We start from the raw sequence: 24,213 nt of genomic DNA, 5'->3' as shown, positions 1-24,213 counted from the left end.
TTCAAGCGATTCTCCTGTCTCAGCCTTCCCAAGTAGCTGGGATTATAGGCATGCACCGCCAAGCCTGGCTAATTTTGTATTTTTAGTAGAGACAGAGTTTCTCCATGTGGGTCAGGCTGGTCTCGAAATCCTGACCTCAGGTGATCCACCTGCCTTGGCCTCCCAAAGTGCTGGGATTACAGGCGTGAGCTACTGCGCCTGGCCGGGCCTGGTACATTTTTCTTTTAGGCCAAATATAAGTACTTTTCTTACAGTTGTTTTTGTGGTAGAAGGAAAAGTGCCTCTCTTTTCTTTCTTCCTGTTCAACTCTGAACCCATTCCAAGCTGGCTTCTATACTCATCACTCCCCTGAAGCAGCAGGACACAGTAGTCCTCACTTATCTGTGGGGCAAATGTTCCAAGCCCCCAGTGGATGTCTGAAACCACGGAGAGTACCAAACCCTATAGATACCATATTTTTTCCTATATGTAAATATCTGTGATAAAGTTTATAAATTAGGCAAAGTAAGAGATTAACAATAAATAATAATGGAATAATTATAATGTTATACCATTCACAATTTCACAGAGAGATTTGTTCTTACTGTAGATCTTAGCAACCTTGGGATACAATTTTTTTCTTTCCTTATTAAGTTGAGAACTTTCAACTTTTCACTTAAAGGAAGCACTTTATGGCTTCTCTTTGGCATTTCCAAATTGCCAGCACCACTACTCTGGTGCAATGGGGTCATTTTTAAGTAAAGCAAGGGTGACTTGAATGTAAGCACTGCAATGCTGTGACAGTCAAACTGATAATGGACAGGGCTAATAAGTGTCTCATGGACAGGAACTGTGTACAGCTATGCTGGACAAATGGAGAATTCATGTCCCAGCTGGGCTGGAGTGGGACAGCGTCAGATTTCATCACGCTACTTGGAATTGTGCTCAATTTAAAACTTATGAATTGCCTGGGCATGGTGGCTTATGCTTATAATCCGAGCACTCCTGGAGGCTTAGGCAGGCAGATCGCTTGAGCCCAGGAGTTCGAGACCAGCCTGGGCAACATGGCAAAACCTTGTCTTTACAAGAAATACAAAAATTAGCCAGGGGTGGTGGTGGTGTGCACCTGTAGTCCCTGTTACGCGGGAGGCTGGCTGAGGTGGGAGGATCACCTGAGTCCAGGAGGTGGAGGTTGCAGAGAGCTGAGATCATAACACTGCACTCCAGCCTGGGTGACAGAACAAGATTCTGTCTTAAAAAAAAAACAAAAACAAAAAACAGGCCAGGCACAGTGGCTCACGCCTGTAATCCCAGCACTTTGGGAGGCCAAGAAGGGTGGATCGCCTGAGTTGGGAGTTCAAGACCAGCCTGACCAACATGGAGAAACCCCGTCTCTACTAAAAATACAAAATTAGCCGGGAGTGGTGGTGCATGCCTGTAATCCCAGCTACTCAGGGGGCTGAGGCAGGAGAATTGCTTGAACCCGGGAGGCTGAGGTTGTGGTGAGCCGAGATCGTGCCATTGCAATCCAGCCTGGGCAACAAGGGCAAAACTCCATCTCAAAAAAAAAAAAAAAAGAGAGAGAAAATTAGCCAGGTATGGTGGCAAGCACCTGTAATCCCAGCTACTTGAGAGGCTGAGGCAGGAGAATTGCTTGAACCCTGGAGGTGGAGGTTGCAGTGAGCCAAGATCTTGCCGTTGTACTCCAGCCTGGGTGACAGAGCAAGACTCTGTCTCAAAAACAAACAAACAAACAGAAACAAAAAAACTCTTATGAATTGTTTATTTCTGGAATTTGTCATTTAATATTTTCAGACTGTGGTTGATCACAGGTAACTGAAATTGTGGAAAGCAAAACTGTAGATAAGGGGCCTACATACTTTCAGCTGTATATTGTCTCATTTCTATACAGCTTTCAACATAATTGATCTCTCTGTTCTTCTTGAAACATTCTCTTTCCTTGGCTTCCAGAATACTGCATTTGATTGTCTCAAAGGAAGCTCGAGTTCTTTGTGTCCTAAAATAAACTTACGATCTTTCCCCCAAACCTAATCCTCTTCTATCTCATTGGATGGTGCCATTTATCCAGTTTAGCAAATCAAAAACTTAGTTATCATCCTTAACACCTCCCCTTTCTTGTAATCTATTACCAGGTTGCATCATTTTTTACCTTCTAAATGTTTCTCAAATCAATCCAAAAATTTTCATCTCCATCACTATCAAGTCTAGGCTGCCATCATCTTTACCACTACAATCATCTCCTAGCTAACCTTCCAAGTTTACACTTCCTTTTATCTAATCTATTTTCCACATTCTGCCATAGTAATAGTAATATTTCCAAATGCAAATCTCACAATGCATTGCCCACCGCATAACACTCCACCCCTGCGTTCCAGTAGCTTTCCATTATCCTTTTGACAAACTCAAATCATTATCATGGCCAATAACATCCTACATGGTTTTGCCCCAACTTACCTTTTCAGTTTCATTTCACATTAAGCTGTTTCCTGCTCTCTGGGTTCCACTAGCCCTTTAGTACTTTCTTCAATTGTGCTATTTTGTCTTCCAATACAAGACATTGCTCAGATAGTTTTCCATGCCCTAGAACACTCCTGTTAAATCAAGTTTAGCCTAAAGCTGCCTCCTTACATATTTTAAGTTCAGCCTAAAGGTTTTTCTGTACATCATGAACTATTACCCAAATGGAGTTAGTTGTAAACAGATTGTAGCCTACTCTTGTGCCAAGTTTTGACCAGTCAAAGGTGGCCAACTATTCAAATTGTGTTCAAATTAGGCAAACACCGAGCTGTAACCAATTTGGCTTTTTCTGTGCCTCACTTCCATTTTCTGTATGCCACTTTCCGTTTTCTGTCCATAAATCTTCCACCACATGGCTGTGCTGGAGTCTCTGAGCCTACTCTGGCTCGGGAGGCAGCACAATTCATGAATCATTCTTTGCTCAATTAAATTCTTCTGAATTTAATTTGGCTAAAGCCTTTCTTTTAACACTCCCTACCTGAACATTTTCTCATTAACACCCTCCTTATCCTTTTTCTTGCAGTTTGAGTTCTCCAGAAGCAGACTCACATGGAGTTTAGTGCGGAAAAGGGTGCTTTTGGGACCAACAACTGGGAAAGAGAGGGAAAGAAAGCATACTTTGGCAGAGGGAGAAGTCAAGAAGTAGTACAGTCCAACAAAAGCCTCATGGAGACCTTTGGAGCTAAAATGATCTTTCAGGTATCTTACATTCGGTTGAAATGACTGGACCTTTATACTCCCACTTCAGTCATTCATGAGATGTACATCAACCTTGGAAGGATGATTCTTTGCATGTAAGGAATCCCTAAAGGTACCTATAGCTAAAGATCATCTGCTGACCACATTCCCCGCAGGGCAAGAGATCTTTCTTTGAAGGAGGATTTGGGTTGTGCACAGTAGTGTTGAAGGACTTCCTTCTTAGTTCAGCTAAAAACAAGATTCTTGTCACCTGACCATGAAAGGTTAGGCTTGCAGACACTCTGAAGGGTGAGAAAAGTAGAATTTATTGGTCACAAAGGAAAAAAAAAGGGAAACAGGGACTGTCAGCAGAGGGAGACTCCTGCTAGTATATAGGCTTCCCACCTTACAGATTGAATCCCAGGTTCCACCCAGGAAGAGGAGGGGCCAGGCTCCTCCTGCTGTAAAGGGTGTGAACTTCTGTGGCTCTACTCCAGTGTGCACAGGCTGGTCAGAGTTTCTCCAGGAGCCTCTTTACACTTGGCTGTCTCAGTAGTATGTTGGTAAACATTTAACAACCAGCTCTATGGGAGAAAAAGCCCCATTTTATAGTGTTTGCCAATTTCCATGGTGTACATACCCCCACCATGGCCACTTTCAAGCTACCAATTGTGATATCGGTGAATGTGGAATTGGGAAAAGATGCACGATAGATAACCTCAAAAGCACAGATAATAGTAAAATGTAGTAAAAAATAATTAGGAAGTGATGAGTTTTGAGTATTATTGATTTGTGTTTTTAATATAACTTTACATAATATTTAATAATGGTTGTTTAAAACCTGTCTCAAAATTCCTAACAATTCAACTATTGGCACCCATGAGGCAGTATGATCCAGCTCCAGCACCACTGCTGGTCACACAACACAGTATCCACCACACTCCTCACCCAGCTTAGTAACCACTTTCTCAGGGAGCCTTTCTAAAACCCTCAATGAAGATAAAATATTACTATTATATGTTATTAAGCTACTGTGTACTTCTTCTTTATCACAGGGTAGTTTTTTATTTATTTTACTGTTAGATTAGTTGATTATGCTCCATGAGAGTAGAGACAGAGACTATTTTACTTCTTCCTTCCATCTCCTCTATTAAAAATTGCTGGGCGTGATAGCTCACGCCTGTAATCTCAGCACTTTGGGAGGCTGAGGTGGGCGGATCCCTGGAGGTCAGGAGTTTGAGACCAGGCTGGCCAACATGGTGAAACCCCATCTCTACTAAAAATACAAAATTAGCACGGCGTGGTGGTGCAGACTTCTAATCCCAGCTGCTCGGGAGACTGAGGCCGGAGAATCACTTGAACCTGGGAGGTGGAAGTTGCAGTGAGCCGAAATCACCCCACTGTATTCCAGCCTGGGCAACAGAGTGAGACTCCATCTCAAAAAAAAAAAAAAAATTGCAGATACAATACTTGTTGAAAGAGTAAATGAATGATGAAAACAGAAAGTGTGTATATCTTTATATATTCAAGAAATCTGTTCCTTCTAAAAAAGAGGTTTTTTCTATTATAAATGAATTATGTACAAAGGAGTCTCATCACATACAAATTTACCATATGCAAACTCAACCATATTAACTCAACCCCACAAAAATAAGAGAGGGAGAAAGTGGCAATGTAAATGGTGCATGATTCTACCTAACATTCCTCTCAGTGAACCGTAGGCTGAGCATGAGATGGGATGTGTAAATCTGCTTTTCCTTGGTCCCTAGTTTGTTGGTTCTAGTTCCTGGGTGCCTCTGATAACATCATCTTACCAGAGTTAAGTGTGATTCTAAAAGGAAATACATGTAGATAGTTGATTTTCTGTTGTTCTGTCTGGTGGTCAATCAAACAAATAGCAACAATTCCAATGATAGGGGAAAAAAATAGGCCATGTTGCAAAATTACCCTGAACATTTATTAAATCACTATTGGACTTTCTGAGAGACGGCTCAATTTTTTTTTTTTTTTTTGAGATGGAGTCTGGCTCTGTTGCCCAGGCTGGAGTGTAGTAGCACGATCTGGGCTCACTGCAACCTCCGCCTCCTGGGTTCAAGCGATTCTCCTGCCTCAGCCTCCCGAGTAGCTGGTATTACAGGCCTGCACCACTGGCTAATTTTGTATTTTTAGTAGACATGGGGTTTTGCCATTTTGTCCAGGCTGGTCTAGAACTCCTGACCTCAGGTGATCTGCCTGCCTTGGCCTCCCAAAGTGCTGGGATTACAGGCATGAGCCACCGTGCCTGGCTGAGACGGCCCAATTTAAGGGATGTTTGGGGTAATATTGCATACATGATTTTTGTTTTTTGTATTAGCTTGGCACTGAATCTCCATGGAATATGAAACTGCATTATTTTATAAAAGAACTGAAAATATAGAAAATTGGAAGAAAGTATACACACTTAAAGCCATAAAATAAGAAATCTATCTCTAAACTGCTCATGCAATAATAGTATATTTCCTTTTAGTCTCTTTTCTAAGGATAGTGTTTTGGAATTTTAGTTTGTATATTGTGGTACATGTATAATTTTGTATTCTTTTTTCTCCTACTATAACTGAGAAAGAAAAAAACCTCTTTTAATCTGAGGAAGGCAAGCCTCTTTAAATTATCCAGGCCCAGAGAGGCATTTAAACTGTAACAGCAGTCACTCCCCTCTTGAAGCCACTTGCTATGCGGGGCGCTAGACTGTAGTTCAACAACGGATAGCCGATCGCTAACCAATGTTATTTCTGTAAACCAAGGAGACTTCCCGACAAACAGCTTTAGTAATTGCACCCTCCTGATACGTGGGTTTGAGCCTCTCTGTTTCCCAGAGTACTCTCCAAAGCAAGCTGGAAGTATGTCCCATGCTGCAGTCCTCAACCTTGGCCCAAATTAACTCTCTAAAGTTTGCCTCAGCTTTGCCCTTTTAGGTTAACAGAACACAAAAATTTCTGTATTATAGTAAATTCAGTATAAATGTATATCTTGAATTTTCTGAAAAATGTGCTAGACATGCATTTTCCTCATTATGTTCTTTTTTTCTTTTTTCTTTCTTTCTTTTTTTTTTTTTTTGAGACAGTCTCTCTCTGAAGCCCAGGCTGGAGTGCAATGGCACAATCTAGGCTCATTGCAACCTCTGCCTCCTGGGTTCAAGCAATCCTCCTGCCTCAGCCTCCCAAGTAGCTGGGATTACAGGCATGTACCACCACGCATGGCTAATTTTTGTATTTTTAGTAAAGACGGGGTTTCACCATGTTGTCCAGGCTGGTCTCGAACTCTTGACCTCAGGTGATCCATGCACCTCAGCCTCTCAAAGTGCTGGGATTACAGGTGTGAGTCACTGCACCCAGCCTTTCCTCATTATGTTCTAAAGATGATGGTTTAGTAACTATAACTATATAAGTGTTAAGTAAGGTTTATAGGAGGCCATTGTTTTGGGATAGCCTCCTGCCCTAGGCCCCAGCAGCCCAAAGCAGAATGAAGTCACTTATGCTAAGTGCCACGTAATCAAACCAAACTTTGAAATGGGCCAGTTTTCTAAAACACGGGGATTCCAGTCAACCTAAGTCAGCATAATAAGGAAGTCCCCTCTGGTTTTTTTTTTTTTTTTTTTTTTTAATTTTTTTTTGAGACTGAGTCTCGCTCTGTTGCCCAGGCTGGAGTGCAGTGGCAGCAGTGGCATGATCTCAGCTCACTGCAACCTCCACCTTCTGGGTTCAAGCGATTCTCCTGCCTCAGCCTCCCGAGTAGCTGGGACTACAGGCGCGTGCCACCATGCCCAGCTAATTTTTGTATTTTTAGTAGAGACGGAGTTTCACCATGTTGGCCAGTTTGGTCTCGATCTCCTGACATTGTGATCCACCCACCTTGGCCTCCCAAAGTGCTGGGATTACAGGGGTGAGCCACCACACCCGGCCAGTCCCCTCTGTTTTTAACCCTAGAAGGAAAGTAACTATGAAATGGCCAATTTACCTTTTGGTCTCTGTTTCTGTTTTCTTCGGCCCTTTTTGGCCTACAAAGCCAACCTCCTCTGCTCTGTCTACCAGAACACCCATTCTATTTCATACAGTGAGGTGTTGCCTGATTCTACAATCACAAATAAAAGCCAATTGGATTTTTAAACTAAATTTGTTGTAATTTTGTCTTTTTTTTGGTTTGTTCTGAGACGGAGTTTCACTCTGTCACCCAGGCTGGAGTGAAGTAGTGCGATCTCGGCTCACTGTAACCTCTGCTCCTGCCAGGTTCAAGCAATTCTCTTGCCTCAGCCTTCCAAGTAGCTGGGAATATAGGCACCTGCCACCACACTCGGCTAATTTTTGTATTTTTAGTAGATACGGGGTTTCACCAGGTTGGCCAGCCTGGTATCAAACTGACTTCAGGTTACCCACCTGCCTCGGCCTCTCAAAGTGCTAGGATTACAGGCCTGAGCCACTGTGCCCAGCCTGTAATTTTGTCTTTTGAAATAAATTAAAGTCAAACACCCTAATAGCAAATAGGCAAAGGAATGAACAGATAAGAGACAGTATAATTTAGCCTGAATGGCTACAGCCATATGAAAAGATGCTCAATCCTATTAGTAACAGGGAATTTCAAATGGAAACCACAGTGAAATACAATTCTGTATTCTTTGGATTGGCAACACTTTTGAAGTGTTATGACATCAAATGTGGTGTGGACCTTGCCCACTGCCTAGACAGAGCCGATTTCTCAAGACAGGGCAACTGCAATAGAGAAAGAGTAATTTAGGCAGAACTGGTTGTGCGAGAGACTGGAGTTTTATTATTAATTCAAATCTGTCTTCCTGAGCATTTGAGGAGCAGAGTTTTTAAGGACAACTTGGTGGGGGGAAGCCAGTAAGCCAGGAGTGCTGATTGGTCAAGGATGAAATCATAAGGAGTCAAAGCTGTCATCTGGAGCTGAGTCAGTTCCTGGGTGGGGGCCACAAGATCAGGTGAGCCAGTTTATTGATCTGGGTGGTGCCAGCTGATGCATCAAGTGCAGGGTCTGCAGAATATCTCAAGTACTGATCTTAGGAGCAGTTTAGGGAGGGTCAGAATCTTAGAATCTTGTAGCCTCCAGCTGCATGACTCCAAAACCATAATGTCTAATCTTGTGGCTAATGTTAGTCTTACAGAGGTAGTCTAGTCCCCAGGCAAGAAGGAGGTCTGCTTTGGGAAAGGGCTGTTATCGTCCTTGTTCCAAACTATAAACTATAAACTAAGTTTCTCCCAAAGTTTGTTCAGCTTATGCCCAGGAATGAACAAGGACAGCTTGGAGGTTAGAAGCAAGATGAAGTCGATTAAGTTAGATCTCTTTCACTGTCTCAGTCACAATTGTGCAAAGGTGGTTTCAGACATGAGAAAGGGAACTGACTTCTTTGGGAGAGCACATCATTAAAATTCCTTTGCAGAGCAATTTGGCATCATTTAGTAAAGTTGAAGATGCACAATTATTTGATAGCAATTTTACTCCAGGATGAACATCCTAGGGCAGTTGTTCTAAAGTGCGTTCTTCAGGCCAACAGCATCAACATCGCTTAAGGACTTGTTAGAAATGAATTAGAAACTCTGGGGGTGGGATTCAACGGTCTATTGTTTAATAAAACTCTCAGGTGATTCTGATGCTTTCTAAAATTTGAGGGCCACTGGCCTAGAGAAATACTTGCATATCAACACAAGGAGTCAGATTTGGGGTTCATTTTGGCATTGATGGTAATAGAACAGATGGGGTAACAATTTAAATGCTCATCAAGGCTGGGTGTGGTGGCTCACGCCTGTAATCCCAGCACTTTGGGAGGCCGAGGCGGAAGGATCACGAGGTCAGGAGATCAAGACCGTCCAGGCTAACATGGTGAAACTCCGTCTCTACTAAAAATGCAAAAAATTAGCTGGGTGTGGTGGCAGGTGCCTGTAGTCCCAGCTACTTGGGAGGCTGAGGCAGGAGAATGGCGTGAACCCGGGAGGCGGAGCTTGCAGTGAGCTGAGATCTCACTACTGCACTCCAGCCTGGGTGACAGAGCGAGACTCTGTCTCAAAAAAAAAAAAAATGCTCATCAGTATGATACACAATGAAAAATTACATATTCATATCGTGGAACACTATATAGCAGATAAAATGAGTGAATTAAAATTATGTGTATTAAGCTAAATAAATATTAAACTTGAGTGATAAGACTTAGGAATTTTCAGAAAGCAAACACACAAACACCCCCTTCCCGCCAAAGAAAACTTGAGTGGGAAAAATAAGCTTGGAAGGACATATACAGTATTATACAACTTCTGTAAAGTCAAAAATCATGCCAAACAATATTATCTTTTGTTAAGAAGTAGATACTTGTGTAGTAAAAGTATAAATACATAAAAGAGAATGACAAATGCTAAATTAAAGATATTGTACTGGGAATGTGATAGGGAGGGGAGTCTGTTGTGTTTAGAAATGTTTTATTTTAGACTGAGTGGGTGTTCATTATATTACCTAATGTATTCTCTTTCTTTCTTTTTTTTTTTTTTTTTGAGATGGAGTCTCGCTCTGTCATCCAGGCTGGAGTGCAGTGGCTCAATCTCGGCTCACTGCAAGCTCCGCCTCCCGGGTGCACGCCATTCTCCTGCCTCAGCCTCCCGAGTAGCTGCGACTACAGGTGCCCGCCACCACGCCTGGCTAATTTTTTGTATTTTTAGTAGCGATGGGGTTTCACCATGTTAGCCAGGATGGTCTCGATCTCCTGACCTCGTGATCTGCCCGTCTCGGCCTCCCAAAGTGCTGGGATTGCAGGCGTGAGCCACCGCGCCCGGCCTACCTAATGTATTTTCTTTCTTTCTTTTTCTATGAGACGGAGTTTCGCTCTTTTCACCCAGGCTGGAGTGCAATAGAGAGATCTCGGCTCACCGCAACCTCTGTCTCCCAGGTTCAAGTGATTCTCCTGCCTCAGCCTCCCGAGTAGCTGGGATTACAGGCATGCACAACCAAGCCTGGCTAATTTTTTGTATTTTTAGTAAAGACAGGTTTCTCCATTTTGGTCAGGCTGGTCTTGAACTCCTGACCTCAGGTGATCCACCTGTCTCGGCCTCCCAAAGTGCTGGGATTACAGGCATGAGCCACGGTGCCCGGCCCATAATGTCTTTTCTAGACTTTTTTCCTTGATTTGTTTTATAAAGAATTGAAATAAAATGAAACTTATATACATGAACTCCAGAAAAACTCTGATACATAATCCTCTTGGGCTCATAGTACTTTATTCTTTTTTTTTTTTTTTTTTTTTTTTTGAGACAGACTCTCTCTTTGTTGCGCAGGCTGGAGTGCAGTGGCACAGTCTCGCCTCACTGCAATCTCTGCCTCCCAGGTTCAGGCGATTCTCCTGCCTCAGCCTCCTGAGTAGTTGGGATTACAGGCGCGTGCCCCTAAGCCTGATTAATTTTTGTATTTTTAGTAGAGACGGAGTTTTGCCATGTTGGCCTGGCTGATCTCAAACTCCTGGCCTCAGGTGATCCGCCTGCCTCAGCCTCCTAAAGTGCTGGGATTACAGGTGTGAGCCACCGCGCCTGGCCCATAGTACTTTATTCTTGATCCTTTTTTCCTCCTTCATAAAGGTGACTTTATTGATTTCTCCAGTGATGTTCTGGGGTCTACCCCCTTCCCCCAGCTCTCTCCAGTTACCCGTCCCCAGCTCAGTCATAGAAGAGACCACATTTTCCACACAGGAAGGAGCTCAGGAACCCTGTCAGTGCATAAAGGAGGGCACAGAGAGATAAGGAGTGTCTGGAGAAGGAAGCAGGGAGTCTGAGATGGGAGGTCTCCAACAGACTGCAGGAAGAGGGGCCTGTGGGCAAGAGAGAGGCAAGAAGCAAGGAGGAGGCTCTCAGTAGAGGCAAAGGGAGAAGAGAGGCGGAGCCTACAGTGTCCTTTTAAATCTGGCCGCACCCCGACTTCGGACCCCACCTGCAGCTTGGTCTCACCATCTCCCCGTCCCTCTTTGCATCCTCTCTTCCAGCCCTGAGGCTGGTCTTGCCACTGCCCAGACATTTCAAGTTGTACATTTTCCTTGCCGCCTCCACAGCCTTTCATCTAGGGTCCCTCCCTCTTTTCTGTCCAAAGTCCTTCCCATTCTTTAAGTAAGTTGGAGCACCAGATAAATCCAGGCACTAGAGATGGCGTGTGTGTGTGTGTGTGTGTGTGTGAGAGAGAGAGAGACAGAGAGAGACAGAGAGGAGAGAGGACAGGTATTTAGGGGGCTGGGGTGAGGCTGCACAGGAAGCCGAGGGGGTCAGAGGAAGGGAGAAGGCGGGGGGTCAGAGGAAGGGAGAGGGCGTAGGAGGAGGAGTGTGTGGTGTGGCCCCAGGAGCACCCTTAGACCACTGTGCTGAGGGTGGAGTCATCCTCTGGGTGCACTGGCAACAGGGGCCGCTTGAGGGTGCGCCAGGTTTCATCTCGGTTCTACCATACATAATGCACCAGGTCAGCCACCCCTCAACGGCAGGGGCCACCTTGGTGCTCCTCTGGGCCCTGCCCCGACCCACACAGCTCTTCCTCCCCTGCCAGCGGCAGGAGCTCCTGCCCCACCGAGGTCTGGTCGGGTTCTGGGGTCACACACGATGCCTGTCCTGGTGCCCGGCGCCAGCCTCACCAGCCTGAGCACTCCCTGGAGGGCACAGTCCCAGTTTCACGGGTTGGCGGATTGGTTCACTTGGATCTGCAGCCCCACGAAGGCCTCCACGGGCACCCAGGCCAGCTTTTCAGAGAGGTGGAGGTGGTGCACCATGCACGCCAGGGCCGAGAAGGCTGCCCCTAAGAGGCGGGTGAAGATATTAGGGGACAGGTGCAGCTCCTCCAGGACAGGCGGGTGCTGGAAGGCACCGCGGGCACTGACGCCAGCTGGTTGGCATCCAGGCCTGTGGGTGTAGCTGGGATGCGGCGGGGCAACAGAGCTTAGGCCTGCCTGGCTGCAGCCAAGCGTCAGTTCACCGGCTTCCTCTGCCACATGGCAGCCCTGTGGAGGTGCCCGGGGGCTGGGCACGGTACCCCGGTGCCTGTCACCAGCGGGAGGGATGGGAGGTGACAGGCTGCTGGTGGGAGGATGGCCACAGATGGGCAGGGTCCCGGAGTGGAGTAGGACCCCTGTAGGCGGCAGGGCCTTCTCCTGTGCTGCTGCCCTCTCCCGGAAAGTAGCCTCCCTGCTGCTGGGCTCTGGAGATCCACTGCCTCCTTCACAAGTCCTGTTTGCTCCTGGCTGCTGGAAGTTGCCGGCTGGGGCCGAACAGTGTTGGGTTTTCTGGCATGTGGTTCCGGGCCCAGGTGTGGAATACCTGAGCCATGGCTTGGCCAGTCAATGCCAAGAGAGGGCAGATCCTGGACCTGGATGAAATCTGCCATGGGGAAACCAGGCCCCAATTCCAATTCCTGCCTCTGGCTCCCTTCCCAAAGCCTCGGCACTGCCATCTTCCTTCACCCTTCGAGTTTGGGACTTCCTCCCAGAACCCCTCTTCCTTGCCCAGAGCCTGGCTGGGCAGAAGGATCCCGGCTTGGCAGGCCTGAGGTGCAAAATAGGGTGGGGCCCATCTCACATCCACTGCCTGGCAGCAACCTGTATCCCCCACCTCCATCCATCCCTCTGCTGTCCTTGGCCTTTCTAGCATGCCCTGTGGCACTTTCTTCCATGGTGAGTGGACTTCCCTTGTCCTTTTCCTTGGAAAACATGTCTCTCTTCATGGGACCTCATTTCCTGGCTTCTCACAGTACTCAGCCCCTTTCTATTCTTCATCCTAATGTAAACATGTATGACGAAAAGACTTGAGGAACTAGACTTTTCAAGCTCCTTCTGGCTCTTTAATACTAAAATTTCATATGTAATTAAAAAATAGAACCCAAGGGCTGGGCGTGGTGACTCACTCCTGTAATCCCAGCACTTTGGGAGGCTGAGGCAGGCGGATCACGAGGACAGGAGTTCGAGACCAGCCTGGCCAAGAGGCCAGCCTGGCCAATATGGTGAAACCCTGTCTCTACTAAAAATACAAAAATTAGCTGGGCATGGTGGCGTGTGCCTGTAGTCCCAGCTATCCAGGAGGCTGAGGCAGGAGAATCGCTTGAACCCAAGAGGCAGAGGTTGCAGTGAGCTGAGATCTCACCACTGCACTCCAGCCTGGGCAACAGAGCAAGACTCCATCTCAAAAAAAAAAAAAAGAAAAAAAAATTGAACCTAAGATTCATAGGCCTTAGTATATTTAGTGAATAGCTCTTATTTACCTTTATAAGTTCTCTTTGTGCCTGACTTATTTCTCATTACCTTCATGCTCTTATTGTATTCTGATCTTGAATTAAATAGATGCCGGGGATTTATAAAATAGAGTTATAAGAAATATTTTACAGCTATTAAAGTGGGCATAATTAAAAACCTTAATGCAGTTTCAAGAATACTGTAGAGAACTCCTATGTTCCCTCCACCTGATTCCCTAATCGTTAGTAACGTACCATATCTGCCTTATTATTCTTTTTCTCTCTGTATAGATAAAGATTATTTCTTTTTCCAGAACCATCTGAGAATAAGTTACAGACATGATGCCAATCACCCCTAAATACTTTAGTGTCTGTTTCATAAAAATAAGGATACTCTTCTATGTAATCACAGAATGCCCATGAAAATCAGGAAATTATCATTGATACCATAGCACCTTCTTTTTTTTTTTTTTTTTTTAGATGGAGTTTCACTCTTGTTGCCCAGGCTGGAGTGCAATGGCACGATCTCAGCTCACTGCAACCTCCTTCTCCCAGGTTCAAGCAATTCTCCTGCCTCAGCCTCCCAAGTAGCTGGGATTACAGGTGCCTGCCACCATGCCTGGCTAATTTTTTGTATTTTTAGTAGAGACTGGGTTTCACCATGTTGGCCAGGCTGGTCTCAAACTTCTGACCTCAGGTGATCCACCTGCCTCGGCCTGCCAAAGTGCTGGGATTACAGGCATGAGCCACCGTGCTCGGCCACCATAGCACCTTCTAATCCACAAACTTCATTCAAATTTTACTGATTTTTCCCAATAAAGTTATTTATAGATCCAGGATCCAATACAGGATCACGTGTTGCATTTAATTGCCGTGTCTCATTTGTTTCCTTCTATCTGCAACAGTTCCTAGTCTCTTCTTTCTTTCATGACCTGGAATTTTGAAGAGGACAGGTCGATTATTTTGCAGAATGTCCATCAGATTGTGTTTGATGTTTCCCCATGATTAGATTTAGGATAATCATTTTGGCAGAAATACTGCAGAAGTGATGTCGTGTTCTTTTTTTTTTTTGAGACGGAGTCCCACACTGTTGCCCAGGCTAGAGTGCAGTGGCGCGATCTCAGCTCACTGCAACCTCCGTCTCCTGGGTTCAAGTGATTCTCCTGTCTCAGCCTCCCGAGTAGATGGGATTACAGGCTTGTGTCACCATGCTCAGCTAATTTTTGTATTTTTAGTAGAGACGAGGTTTCACCAGTTGGCCAGGCTGGTCTCTAACTCCTGACCTCAAGTGATCCACCTGCCTCGGCCTCCCGAAGTGCTGGGATTACAGGCATGAGCCACCAAGCCCAGCCAGCTGTGTTCTTCTTAATGCATCATCTCAGAAGGCATATGATGTTGATTTGTCTCATCACTGGTGAAATTAACTGTCATCATTTGGTACGATGATGTCTGCCAGATTTTGCAATGTAAAGTTAGTAAGTATTTTTGTCTTGAGATACTTTGAGACTATGTAAAAATATTGTTACTGATAACGCATTTATTTTATTTATTTATTTTTTATTTTTTTGAGATGGAGTTTCACTCTTGTTGCCCAGGCTGGAGTGCAATGACGAATCTTGGCTCACCGCAACCTCCATCTCCTGGGTTCAAGTGATTCTCCTGCCTCAGCCTCCCGAGTAGCTGGGATTACAGGCATGTGCCACCGTGACTGGCTAATTTTGTATTTTTTGTAGGGGTTTCTCCATGTTTGTCAGGCTGGTCTTGAACTCCCGACCTCAGGTGATCTGCCCGCCTTGGCCTCCCAGAGTGCTGGGATTACAGGCGTGAGCCACCGTGGCCGGCCTATTTATTTATTTTTTGAGACAGGGTCTTGCTGTGTCACCCAGGCTGGAATTCAGTGGTGAGATCATAGCTCACTACAGCTTCGAACTCCTGGGCTCAAGCGATTCTCTTGCCTCAGTCTCCCAAGTAGCTGGGACTACAGGTGCCAGCCACCACACCACACTCAGCTAATTATTTAAGTTAATTTTTTTTTTAGAGATGGGGGTCTCAATGTTGCCTGGACTTTACCTATTTATATAAGTACCATTTTATTTGTTCTTTCACCAAAACGATTATTACTGTAAAGGTTATCAAATGATAATCATTGGCTGGGCATGGTAGCTCACACCTGTAATCCCAGCACTTTGGGAGGCTGAGGAGGGCAGATCACTTGAGCTCAGGAGTTTGAGACAAGCCTGGGCAATATGGCAAAACCCTGTCTCTACAAAAAATACAAAAATTAGCTGGGCGCAGTGGCATGTGCTTGTAGTCCCAGCTACTTGGGAGGCTGAGGTGGGAGGATTGCTTAAGCCCAGGAGTTGGAGGTTGCAGTGAGCTATGATGGCGCCACTGCACTCCAGTTTGGGTGACAGAGTGAGACCCTGCCTCAAAAAAAAAAAAAAAGATAATCATTCCTTCTATTATTTCTTCCACATTTATTAGTTGACCTTCTATTGTAAGGGAAAGCTTTCCCATCCCTCTGCTCTCATTTATTTGTCTATTAATTTTTTGACTTAAAAAAATTTTTTTGTTTATTTCATTATATTTTTGGAGATGGAGTCTCCCTCTGTCATCCAGGAAAAAAAATATATATTTTGTTTGTAATTTCTATTTTATGTTGTCAATACTTCTGAGGAATATTTATCTATTAATTGATATTAGTATGGGCTCATAGGTTCCTATTTAATGGGTTATAAGAAATTGCTATAATTATGTCATTATTTTGACACTCAAATTATCCCAGAGTTAGCCAGTGGGAGCCCCTTGGCTGTCTCTTGTGTCATTTTGACACATCCCCATGAACCTTTGAGAATTACCATACTTTATGGTACAATATGTTCTAGGTGTATTATATGCTTTCTCTGCTTTAGACCCGAAGTCAGCCATTTCTTCAAGGAGTTCTGGTTCCTTTTGAGGAGAATAGTATTTAAAACCAAAGTCTTAGTGTCTGGTATGCTCATTGCTGCTGGTGTACTCATTGCATCTATGTGTGTGTGTACATGTGTGCATGAACATGTACATATACATATATTTATACATATACATATACAGTCATCCTTTGGTACCTGTTGGCAGGAGGATTGATTCCAGGACCTCCCATGCATATCAAAATCCGTGGATGCTTAAATCGCTGATATAAAGTGGTGTAGTATTTGCATGTAATTTATGCACACCCCCCCTTACACTTTAATTCATTTCTGGATGACTTAGACCACCTAATATAATGTAAATGCTCTGTAAATAGTCGTTATACTGTATTGTCTAGGGCATAATGACAAGAAAAAAAGTGTGCGTGTTCAGTACAGAGGCAATTTTTTTTCCAAACATTTTTCATCCACGGTTGGTTGAATCCACAGATGTGGAACCCACAGATACAGAGGGCTGACTATGTGTGTATACCTTGAAGATTAGGATTTCAACAAATAAATTTCGGGGGAACATAAACATTCAAACCACACCGACCATAAAACTGTTAGAAGAAAACATAGGTATAAATATTTATGGCCTTAGATTAGGCAATGATTTCTTAGATATAACATCGAAAGTACAAGCAACAAGAGAAAAAATAGGTAAATTAGACTTCATCAAAATTTAAATCTTATGCTTCAAAGGATACCACTAAGAAAACGAAAAGATGCAGACACGAAGAGGGGAACAACAGACACTGGGGCCTGCTTAAGGATGGAGGGTGGAAGGAGGGAGAGGATCAGAAAAAATGTCTATTGGGTATGAGACCTAGTACCTGGATGATGAAATAATCTGTACATCCAACTCCCATGACATGAATTTACCTATATAAAAAACCTGCACATGTACCCCTGAACCTAAAATAAAAATGAAAAAGACAAACAAAAATATAACTAGAAAATATCCACTATTGAGACAAAATTATACAAAACCTAAATAAGGCTAGGCATGGTGGCTTACGCCTGTAATTCCATCACATTGGGAGGCTGAGGCAGGCGGATTGCTTGAGGCCAGGAGTTTGAGACCAGCCTGGGCAACATGATGAAAACCCACCTACAGAAAATACAAAAATTAGCTGTGCATGGTGGCATACACCTGTAGTCCCAACTACTCAAAAGGCTGAAGCAGAAGGATTGCTTTTGCCTGGGAGGTAGAGGTTGCAGTGAGTTGAGATCATGCCACTGCACTCCAGCCTGGGTGACAGAGCAAGACCCTGTCTCAAAAACAAACAAACAAACTAACGAAAAAAAAAAAAAAAAACCCACACACAAAAAACCAAAAAATGAAACTTCAAAACCAACCCTAAATAAATGGAGGGATATGCCATCTTCATGGATTGGAAAGCACAGTTATAAAGATGACAAACCCCTGAATTGACATATGGATTCAATGAAAGCTAAGGTAAAATTCCAGCAGTTTTGTAAGAGAATATGTGTTTGGTGAATGTTGATAAGCTGACTCTAAAATGCATATGGAGCTCTCATCCACCACTGCTGCTTCCTTCTTCTGCTGCTCTTGGGGCTGCTTGTGTGCTCGTTTGGTGTGGACTTGGTGCCTCTTTTGTGAAGCAGCAGCTGAGGAGACTGGTGCTTGCTATGGCCGATGAAAAAAAAGCCCAAGGAAGGAGTCAAGAATGAGAACAAGGAACATATTAATTTGAAGGTGTTGGGGCAGGATGGTTCTGTGGTGCAGTTTAAGATTAAGAGGCATACACCATTTAGTAAACTAATGAAAGCCTATTGTGAATGACAGGTATTGTCAATGAAGCAGATTAGATTCCGATTTGACGGGCAACCAATCAATGAAGTAGACACACCTGCACAGTTGGAAATGTGGGATGAAAATAGAATTGATGCATTCCAACAGCAGACGGGAGGTGTCTACTGAAAAAGGAAACTGCTTCTTTACTCCAGAACTCTGTTCTTTATTTTATTTATTTATTTTTGAGACAGAGTTAGTCTTGCTCTGTTGCCCAGGCTGGAGTGCAGTGGCGTGATCTCGGCTCACTGCAACCTCTGCCTCCCGGGTTCAAGCGATTCTCCTGTCTCAGCCTCCCGAGTAGTTGGGATTACAGGTGCCCACCACCACGCCCTGCTAATTTTTGTATTTTGAATAGAGATGGGGTTTCACCATGTTGGTCAGGCTGGTCTCGAACTCCTGACCTCAGGTGATCCGCCCGCCTTGGCCTCCCAAAGTGCTGGGATCACAGGCGTGAGCCACCGTGCCCGGCCAGAACTCTGTTCTTTAAAGATCAAGATTACATTCTCAATTACAAAACTGCAATTTGTTGCCACCACATCCTGACTACTACAGTATAGTTTTCTCTGTTCTTTCATTTCCCCCTTCCCTATTCCTTTATTGTACATAAAGTAGCTGGTATATATGCACAAGCATATCGCTTTTTTTTTTTTTTGAGACTGAGTCTCGCTTTGTCACCCAGGCTGGAGTGCAGTGGCGCGATCTCGGCTCACTGCAAACTCCGCCTCCCGGGTTTACGCCATTCTCCTGCCTCAGCTTCCGGAGTAGCTGGGACTACAGGCGCCTGCCACCATGCCTGGCTAATTTTTTGTATTTTTAGTAGAGATGGAGTTTCACCGTGTTAGCCAGGATGGTCTCGATCTCCTGACCTCGTGATCCGCCCTCCTCGGCCTCCCAAAATGTTGAGATTACAGGGATGAGCCACCGCGCCCGGCGAATATCGCATTTTTAAAAACTAAACAGCCAATGGTATGTTTTGGTTGACATCAAGTGGAAATGGGGTGGGAAAAATACTCATTCTGTGAAAATATCCCTTCTCCATTAGTGGCATGCTCATTCAGTTCTTATCTTTATATTCCAGTAAGTTATTTTCCTCTATTTTAACAAAAAAAACAACAACATAAAAATCCTTTCGCCGGGCTCGGTGACTCATGCTTGTAATCCCAGCACTTTGGGAGGCTGAGGCGGGCGGATTACGAGGTCAAGAGATTGAGACCACCCTGGCCAACATGCGAAACCCCGTCTTTACTAAAAATACAGAAATTAGCTGGGCATGGTGGCGGGCGCCTGTAAACCCAGCTACTTAGGAGGCTGAGGCAGGAGAATTGCTTGAACCCGGGAGGCGGAGGTTGCAGTGAGCCGAGATCATGCCACTGCACTTCAGCCTGGCGACAGAGCGAGACTCTGTCTCAAAAAAAAAAAAAAAAAAAAAAAAAAAGAGAGAAAAAAGAAAAAAAATCCTGGCATACCTTGTTCAAAGAATTTTAATATTTTTCATTTATTATTGTAAAACCAAGGACAATTTTATAACTTTTTTGTGTGTAGTGGTTACATATAGGGCAATCTGTCTTTAAGTAGGGATAAATTACTCTTAAAAAAAAAAGAATTCTAGATAGTTTTCTCTTCAAGTGTCTTGTTTAAATAAACTTCTTATTTAAAATGAGCTGTGTTCTTTATTCTGAGAAATATTAAATAGAAAATTGAGACTTAGAAAAAAACACATGAATAGTCCTGCTAGAAGTAACATTTCAAGGAGGAAATAAAGCTATTTGGTGTTTCTGATAGATTGATACTGATGCTAAACAAAGATTAACAAAGTTATATAAATGACTATTAGCGGAAAAAAATAAAATGCGTATGGAAATATAAAGGACAAGCATAGCGAAAACAATCTTGAAGAAGAACAGAGCTATAGGACTGACACTATAAGACACAATGCTTATTATAATGTTAGATTTACAAGTGTGGCATTATTACAAGAATATATGCAGGCCAGGTGTGGTGGCTCACGCCTGTAATCCCAGCACTTTGGGAGGCTGAGGTGGGCAGATCACTTGAGGTCAGGAGTTCGAGACAAGCCTGGCCAAAATGGTAAAACCCCATTTCTACTAAAAATACAAAAAAAAAACCACCCAAAAAACCAAAAACAGTTAGCCAGGCATGGTGGTGCATGCTTGTAATTCCAGCTACTCAGGAGCCTGAGGCAGAATTGCTTAAACCTGGGAGATGGAGGTTGCAGTGAGCTGAGATCACGCCACTGCACTCCAGCCTGGGCGACAGAGTGAGACTTCATCTCAAAAAAAAAAAAAAAAAAATATATATATATATATATATATATGTGTGTGTGTGTGTGTGTGTGTGTGTATGTATGAACAGACCACAGGCATAAAATTGAGAGTCCAGAAATTGATCACATATGCATGATCACTTAACTTATGACAAAGTGGAAAACAAGTTTTTTAAAAATATAAGCTGCTTTGAAGCAATTATAAATCTTTAAGAAAAAAAAGAATCTTGATCCCTACTCTTACATCGTACCTTAAAAAAGAATTTTAATCATGTTGTACATGATAAAACATAGAATGGCCAGGGGTGGTCGCTCATGCCTGTAATCCTAGCACTTTGGGATGCTATGGCTGGTGGATCAGTTGAGGCCAGGAGTTTGAGAATAGCCTGGCCAACATAGTGAAACTCTGTGTCTACTAAAAATACAAAAATTAGCTAGGTGTGGTGGCATGTGCCTGTAATCCCTCAGCTACTTGGGAGGCTGAGAGATGAGAATCGCTTGAACCCTGGAGGCAGAGGTTTCAGTGAGCCAAGATTGTGCCACTGCACTCCAGCCTGGGTGACAGAGCAAAATTCTGTCCCCTAAAAAAAAAAAAAAAAAAATCAACCATAAAATGTTATGTCAATTTAAAAAAATTTAATTATGGCATAAAATTGATGCTTTTATTTTGCTAAGATATTTTAAGTAATAAACCATTTCCTTAAATTAAAACAAATTCTAGAGGATTGCAATCTAAATTGAAATGTAAAACAAAGTAAGTTTTCAGAAGTTAAAAATAGGAGGCCGGGCGTGGTGGCTCACGCCTGTAATCCCAGCACTTTGGGATGCTGAGGTGGGCGGATCACGAGGTCAGGAGTTCGAGACCAGCCTGGGCCACATAGTGAAACCCAGTCTCTACTAAAAATACAAAAAATTAGCCAGGTGGCGGGCACCTGTAATCCCAGCTACTCGGGAGGCTGAGGCAGGAGAATTGCTTGAACCTAGCAGGTGGAGTTTGCAGTGAGCCGAGATCATGCCATTGCATTCCAGGCTAGGCAACAAGGGCAAATCTCTATCTCAAAAAAAAAAAAAAAAATGATGATAGACTGGGCTATATTAGAATTAAAAACTTTTATTCATTTAAGGGCATGACTAAAAGGGTGAAAAGGCAATTCACAGTAGGACAAAATATTTACAACACATAATCCCCCAAAAGGACTCATATTCAAAGTGTATAAATAAACCCCGCATATCAGTAAGAAAACAAACATATAATTCAATCACTCAATAGAAAAATAGAAAAACGAGCAAAAGAATAGGCATTTTACAGAGAAACTAGCCTAATGGCCAGCAAAAATATTAAAAAATTGTCCAAGTTCATTAGACATTCAAGAAATGCTAACTAAAACTACAATGTGATATCACAACTACAAAAACAAGTAAAATTTAAAAGCCTGACAATACTAAGTGTTGTCTAAGATGTGGAACAAACTGGAACTCCTGTGTATTGCTTATAGCACTGCAAACTGAAAGTATTGATAAAGTTGAACATACATACTCCATAATACAGAAAATTTTACTCCTATGATACCCAACACAAATATATACATATATTCCTCAAAAAACATATTTAAGAATGTAGCCTAATACTAGCTTACATGAAGGAAAAATAAAGACTTTTACAGGCAAATGAAAGCTGAGGGATTTCATCAACAGCAGACCTGTTCCACAAGAGAGAAATGCTAAAGGGAGTTCTTCAATTAGAAAGGAAAGGATGTTAATGAACAATAAGAAATCATCTGAAGGGCCTGTAATCCCAGCACTTTGGGAGGCCAAGGCAGGTGGATCACCTGAGGTCATGAGTTCAAGACCAGATTGGGCAACATGGCAAAACCCTATCTCTACTAAGAATACGAAAATTAGCCGAGAGTGGTGGCATGCACCTGTAATCCCAGCTACTTGGGAGGCTAAGGTATGAGAATTGCTTGAACCTGGGAGGCGGAGGTTGCCGTGAGGCCGAGATCCTGCCATTGCATTCCAGCCTGGGCGATGGAGCAAGACTCCGCCTCAAAAATAAATAAATAAATAAATAATCTGAAGGTACAAAATTAACCGGTAATAGTAAGTACGCAGAAAAACACAGAATATTGCAACATTGTAATTGTAGTGTATAAGCTACTCATATCTTAAGTAGAAAGATGAAAAGATGAACCAATCAAAAATAAAAATTACAGCAACTTTTCGAGACACAGACATTACAATAAGATATGAATAGAGGAGGGCCAGATGTGGTGGCTCACGTCTGTAGACCCAGCACTTTGGGAGGCTGAGGCGGGTGGATCACAGGGTCAGGAGTTTGAGACCAGCCTGGCCAACATGATGAAACCCGGTCTCCACTAAAGATACAAAAAATTAGCTGGGCGTGGTGGCAGCGTGCCTGTAATCCTAGCTACTTGGCAGGCTGAGGCAGGAGAATCGCTTAAACCCAGGAGGCGGAGGTTGCAGTGAGCCGAGATCGCATCATTACACTCCAGCCTGGGCGACAGGGCAAGACTCCGTCTCAAAAAAAAAAAAAAAAAAAAAGATATGAATAGAGGCTGGGCCCAGTAGCTCACGCCTGTAATTCCAGCACTTTGGGAGGCCAAGGCAGCTGGATTGCTTGAGCCCAGGAGTTTGAGACCAGTCTGGACAACATGGCAAAACCTCATCTCTACTAAGAATACAAAAATTAGTTGGGCATGGTGGCATGCACCTGTAATCCCAACTTCATGGGAGGGTAAGGCACGAGAATTACTTGAACCTGGTTAGGCAGAGGTTGCAGTGAGCCGAGATTGCACCACTGTACTCTAGCCTGGGCAACAGAACAAGACTGTCTCAAAAAAAAAAAAAAAAAAATGACACAAAAAAGAAATGAATAGAAATAACAAAAAGTTCCTCTCCCTCTCCCTCTCCCTCTCCCTCTCCCCACGGTCTCCCTCTCCCTCTCCCCACGGTCTCCCTCTCCCTCTCTTTCCACGGTCTCCGTCTGATGCCGAGCCGAAGCTGGACTGTACTGCTGCCATCTCCCTCTCCCCACGGTCTCCCTCTCCCTCTCTTTCTACGGTCTCCCTCTGATGCGGAGCCGAAGCTGGACTGTACTGCTGCCATCTCGGCTCACTGCAACCTCCCTGCCTGATTCTCCTGCCTCAGCCTGCCGAGTGCCTGCGATTGCAGGCGCGCGCCACCACGCCTGACTGGTTTTCATATTTTTTTTGGTGGAGACGGGGTTTCGCTGTGTTGGCCGGGCTGGTCTCCAGCTCCTAACCGCGAGTGATCCACCAGCCTCGGCCTCCCGAGGTGCCGGGATTGCAGACGGAGTCTCGTTCACTCAGTGCTCAATGGTGCCCAGGCTGGAGTGCAGTGGCGTGATCTCGGCTCGCTACAACCTCCACCTCCCAGCCGCCTGCCTTGGCCTCCCAAAGTGCCGAGATTGCAGCCTCTGCCCGGCCGCCACCCCTTCTGGGAAGTGAGGAGCGTCTCTGCCTGGCCGCCCATTGTCTGGGATGTGAGGAGCCCCTTTGCCTGGCTGCCCAGTATGGAAAGTGAGGAGCGTCTCTGCCCGGCTGCCATCCTATCTAGGAAGTGAGGAGCGTCTCTGCCCGGCCGCCCCGTCTGAGAAGTGAGGAGACCCTCTGCCTGGCAACCACCCCATCTGAGAAGTGAGGAGCCCCTCCGCCCGGCAGCCACCCCGTCTGGGAAGTGAGGAGCGTTTCCGCCCG

The 24,213-nt window shown here is 44.3% G+C and overlaps 2 pseudogenes, besides 1 other annotated feature; one reads left to right on the top strand and one right to left on the bottom strand.

The window, feature by feature from the left end:
• On the bottom strand, positions 11,562-12,324 carry LOC100130639 (leucine rich repeat containing 3C pseudogene; annotated as a pseudogene).
• Positions 12,024-12,192: a silencer, noted in NCBI's record as "fragment chr5:68370875-68371043 (GRCh37/hg19 assembly coordinates)". NCBI's record gives its function as "represses an EF-1alpha promoter that drives an FKBP-Casp9 reporter gene in an ReSE screen in phorbol 12-myristate 13-acetate-treated (for megakaryocytic differentiation) K562 erythroleukemia cells {active_cell/tissue: K562(+PMA)}" and the evidence as "EXISTENCE:reporter gene assay evidence [ECO:0000049][PMID:32094911]".
• On the top strand, positions 17,911-18,358 carry SUMO2P4 (SUMO2 pseudogene 4; annotated as a pseudogene).

This window comes from Homo sapiens, chromosome 5 (genome assembly GCF_000001405.40).
Source record: "Homo sapiens chromosome 5, GRCh38.p14 Primary Assembly".
Classification (NCBI taxonomy): Eukaryota; Metazoa; Chordata; class Mammalia; order Primates; family Hominidae; genus Homo; species Homo sapiens.
The sequence above is the reverse complement of the archived record's forward strand: the minus strand, read 5'-3'. Positions and strand labels throughout refer to the sequence as shown.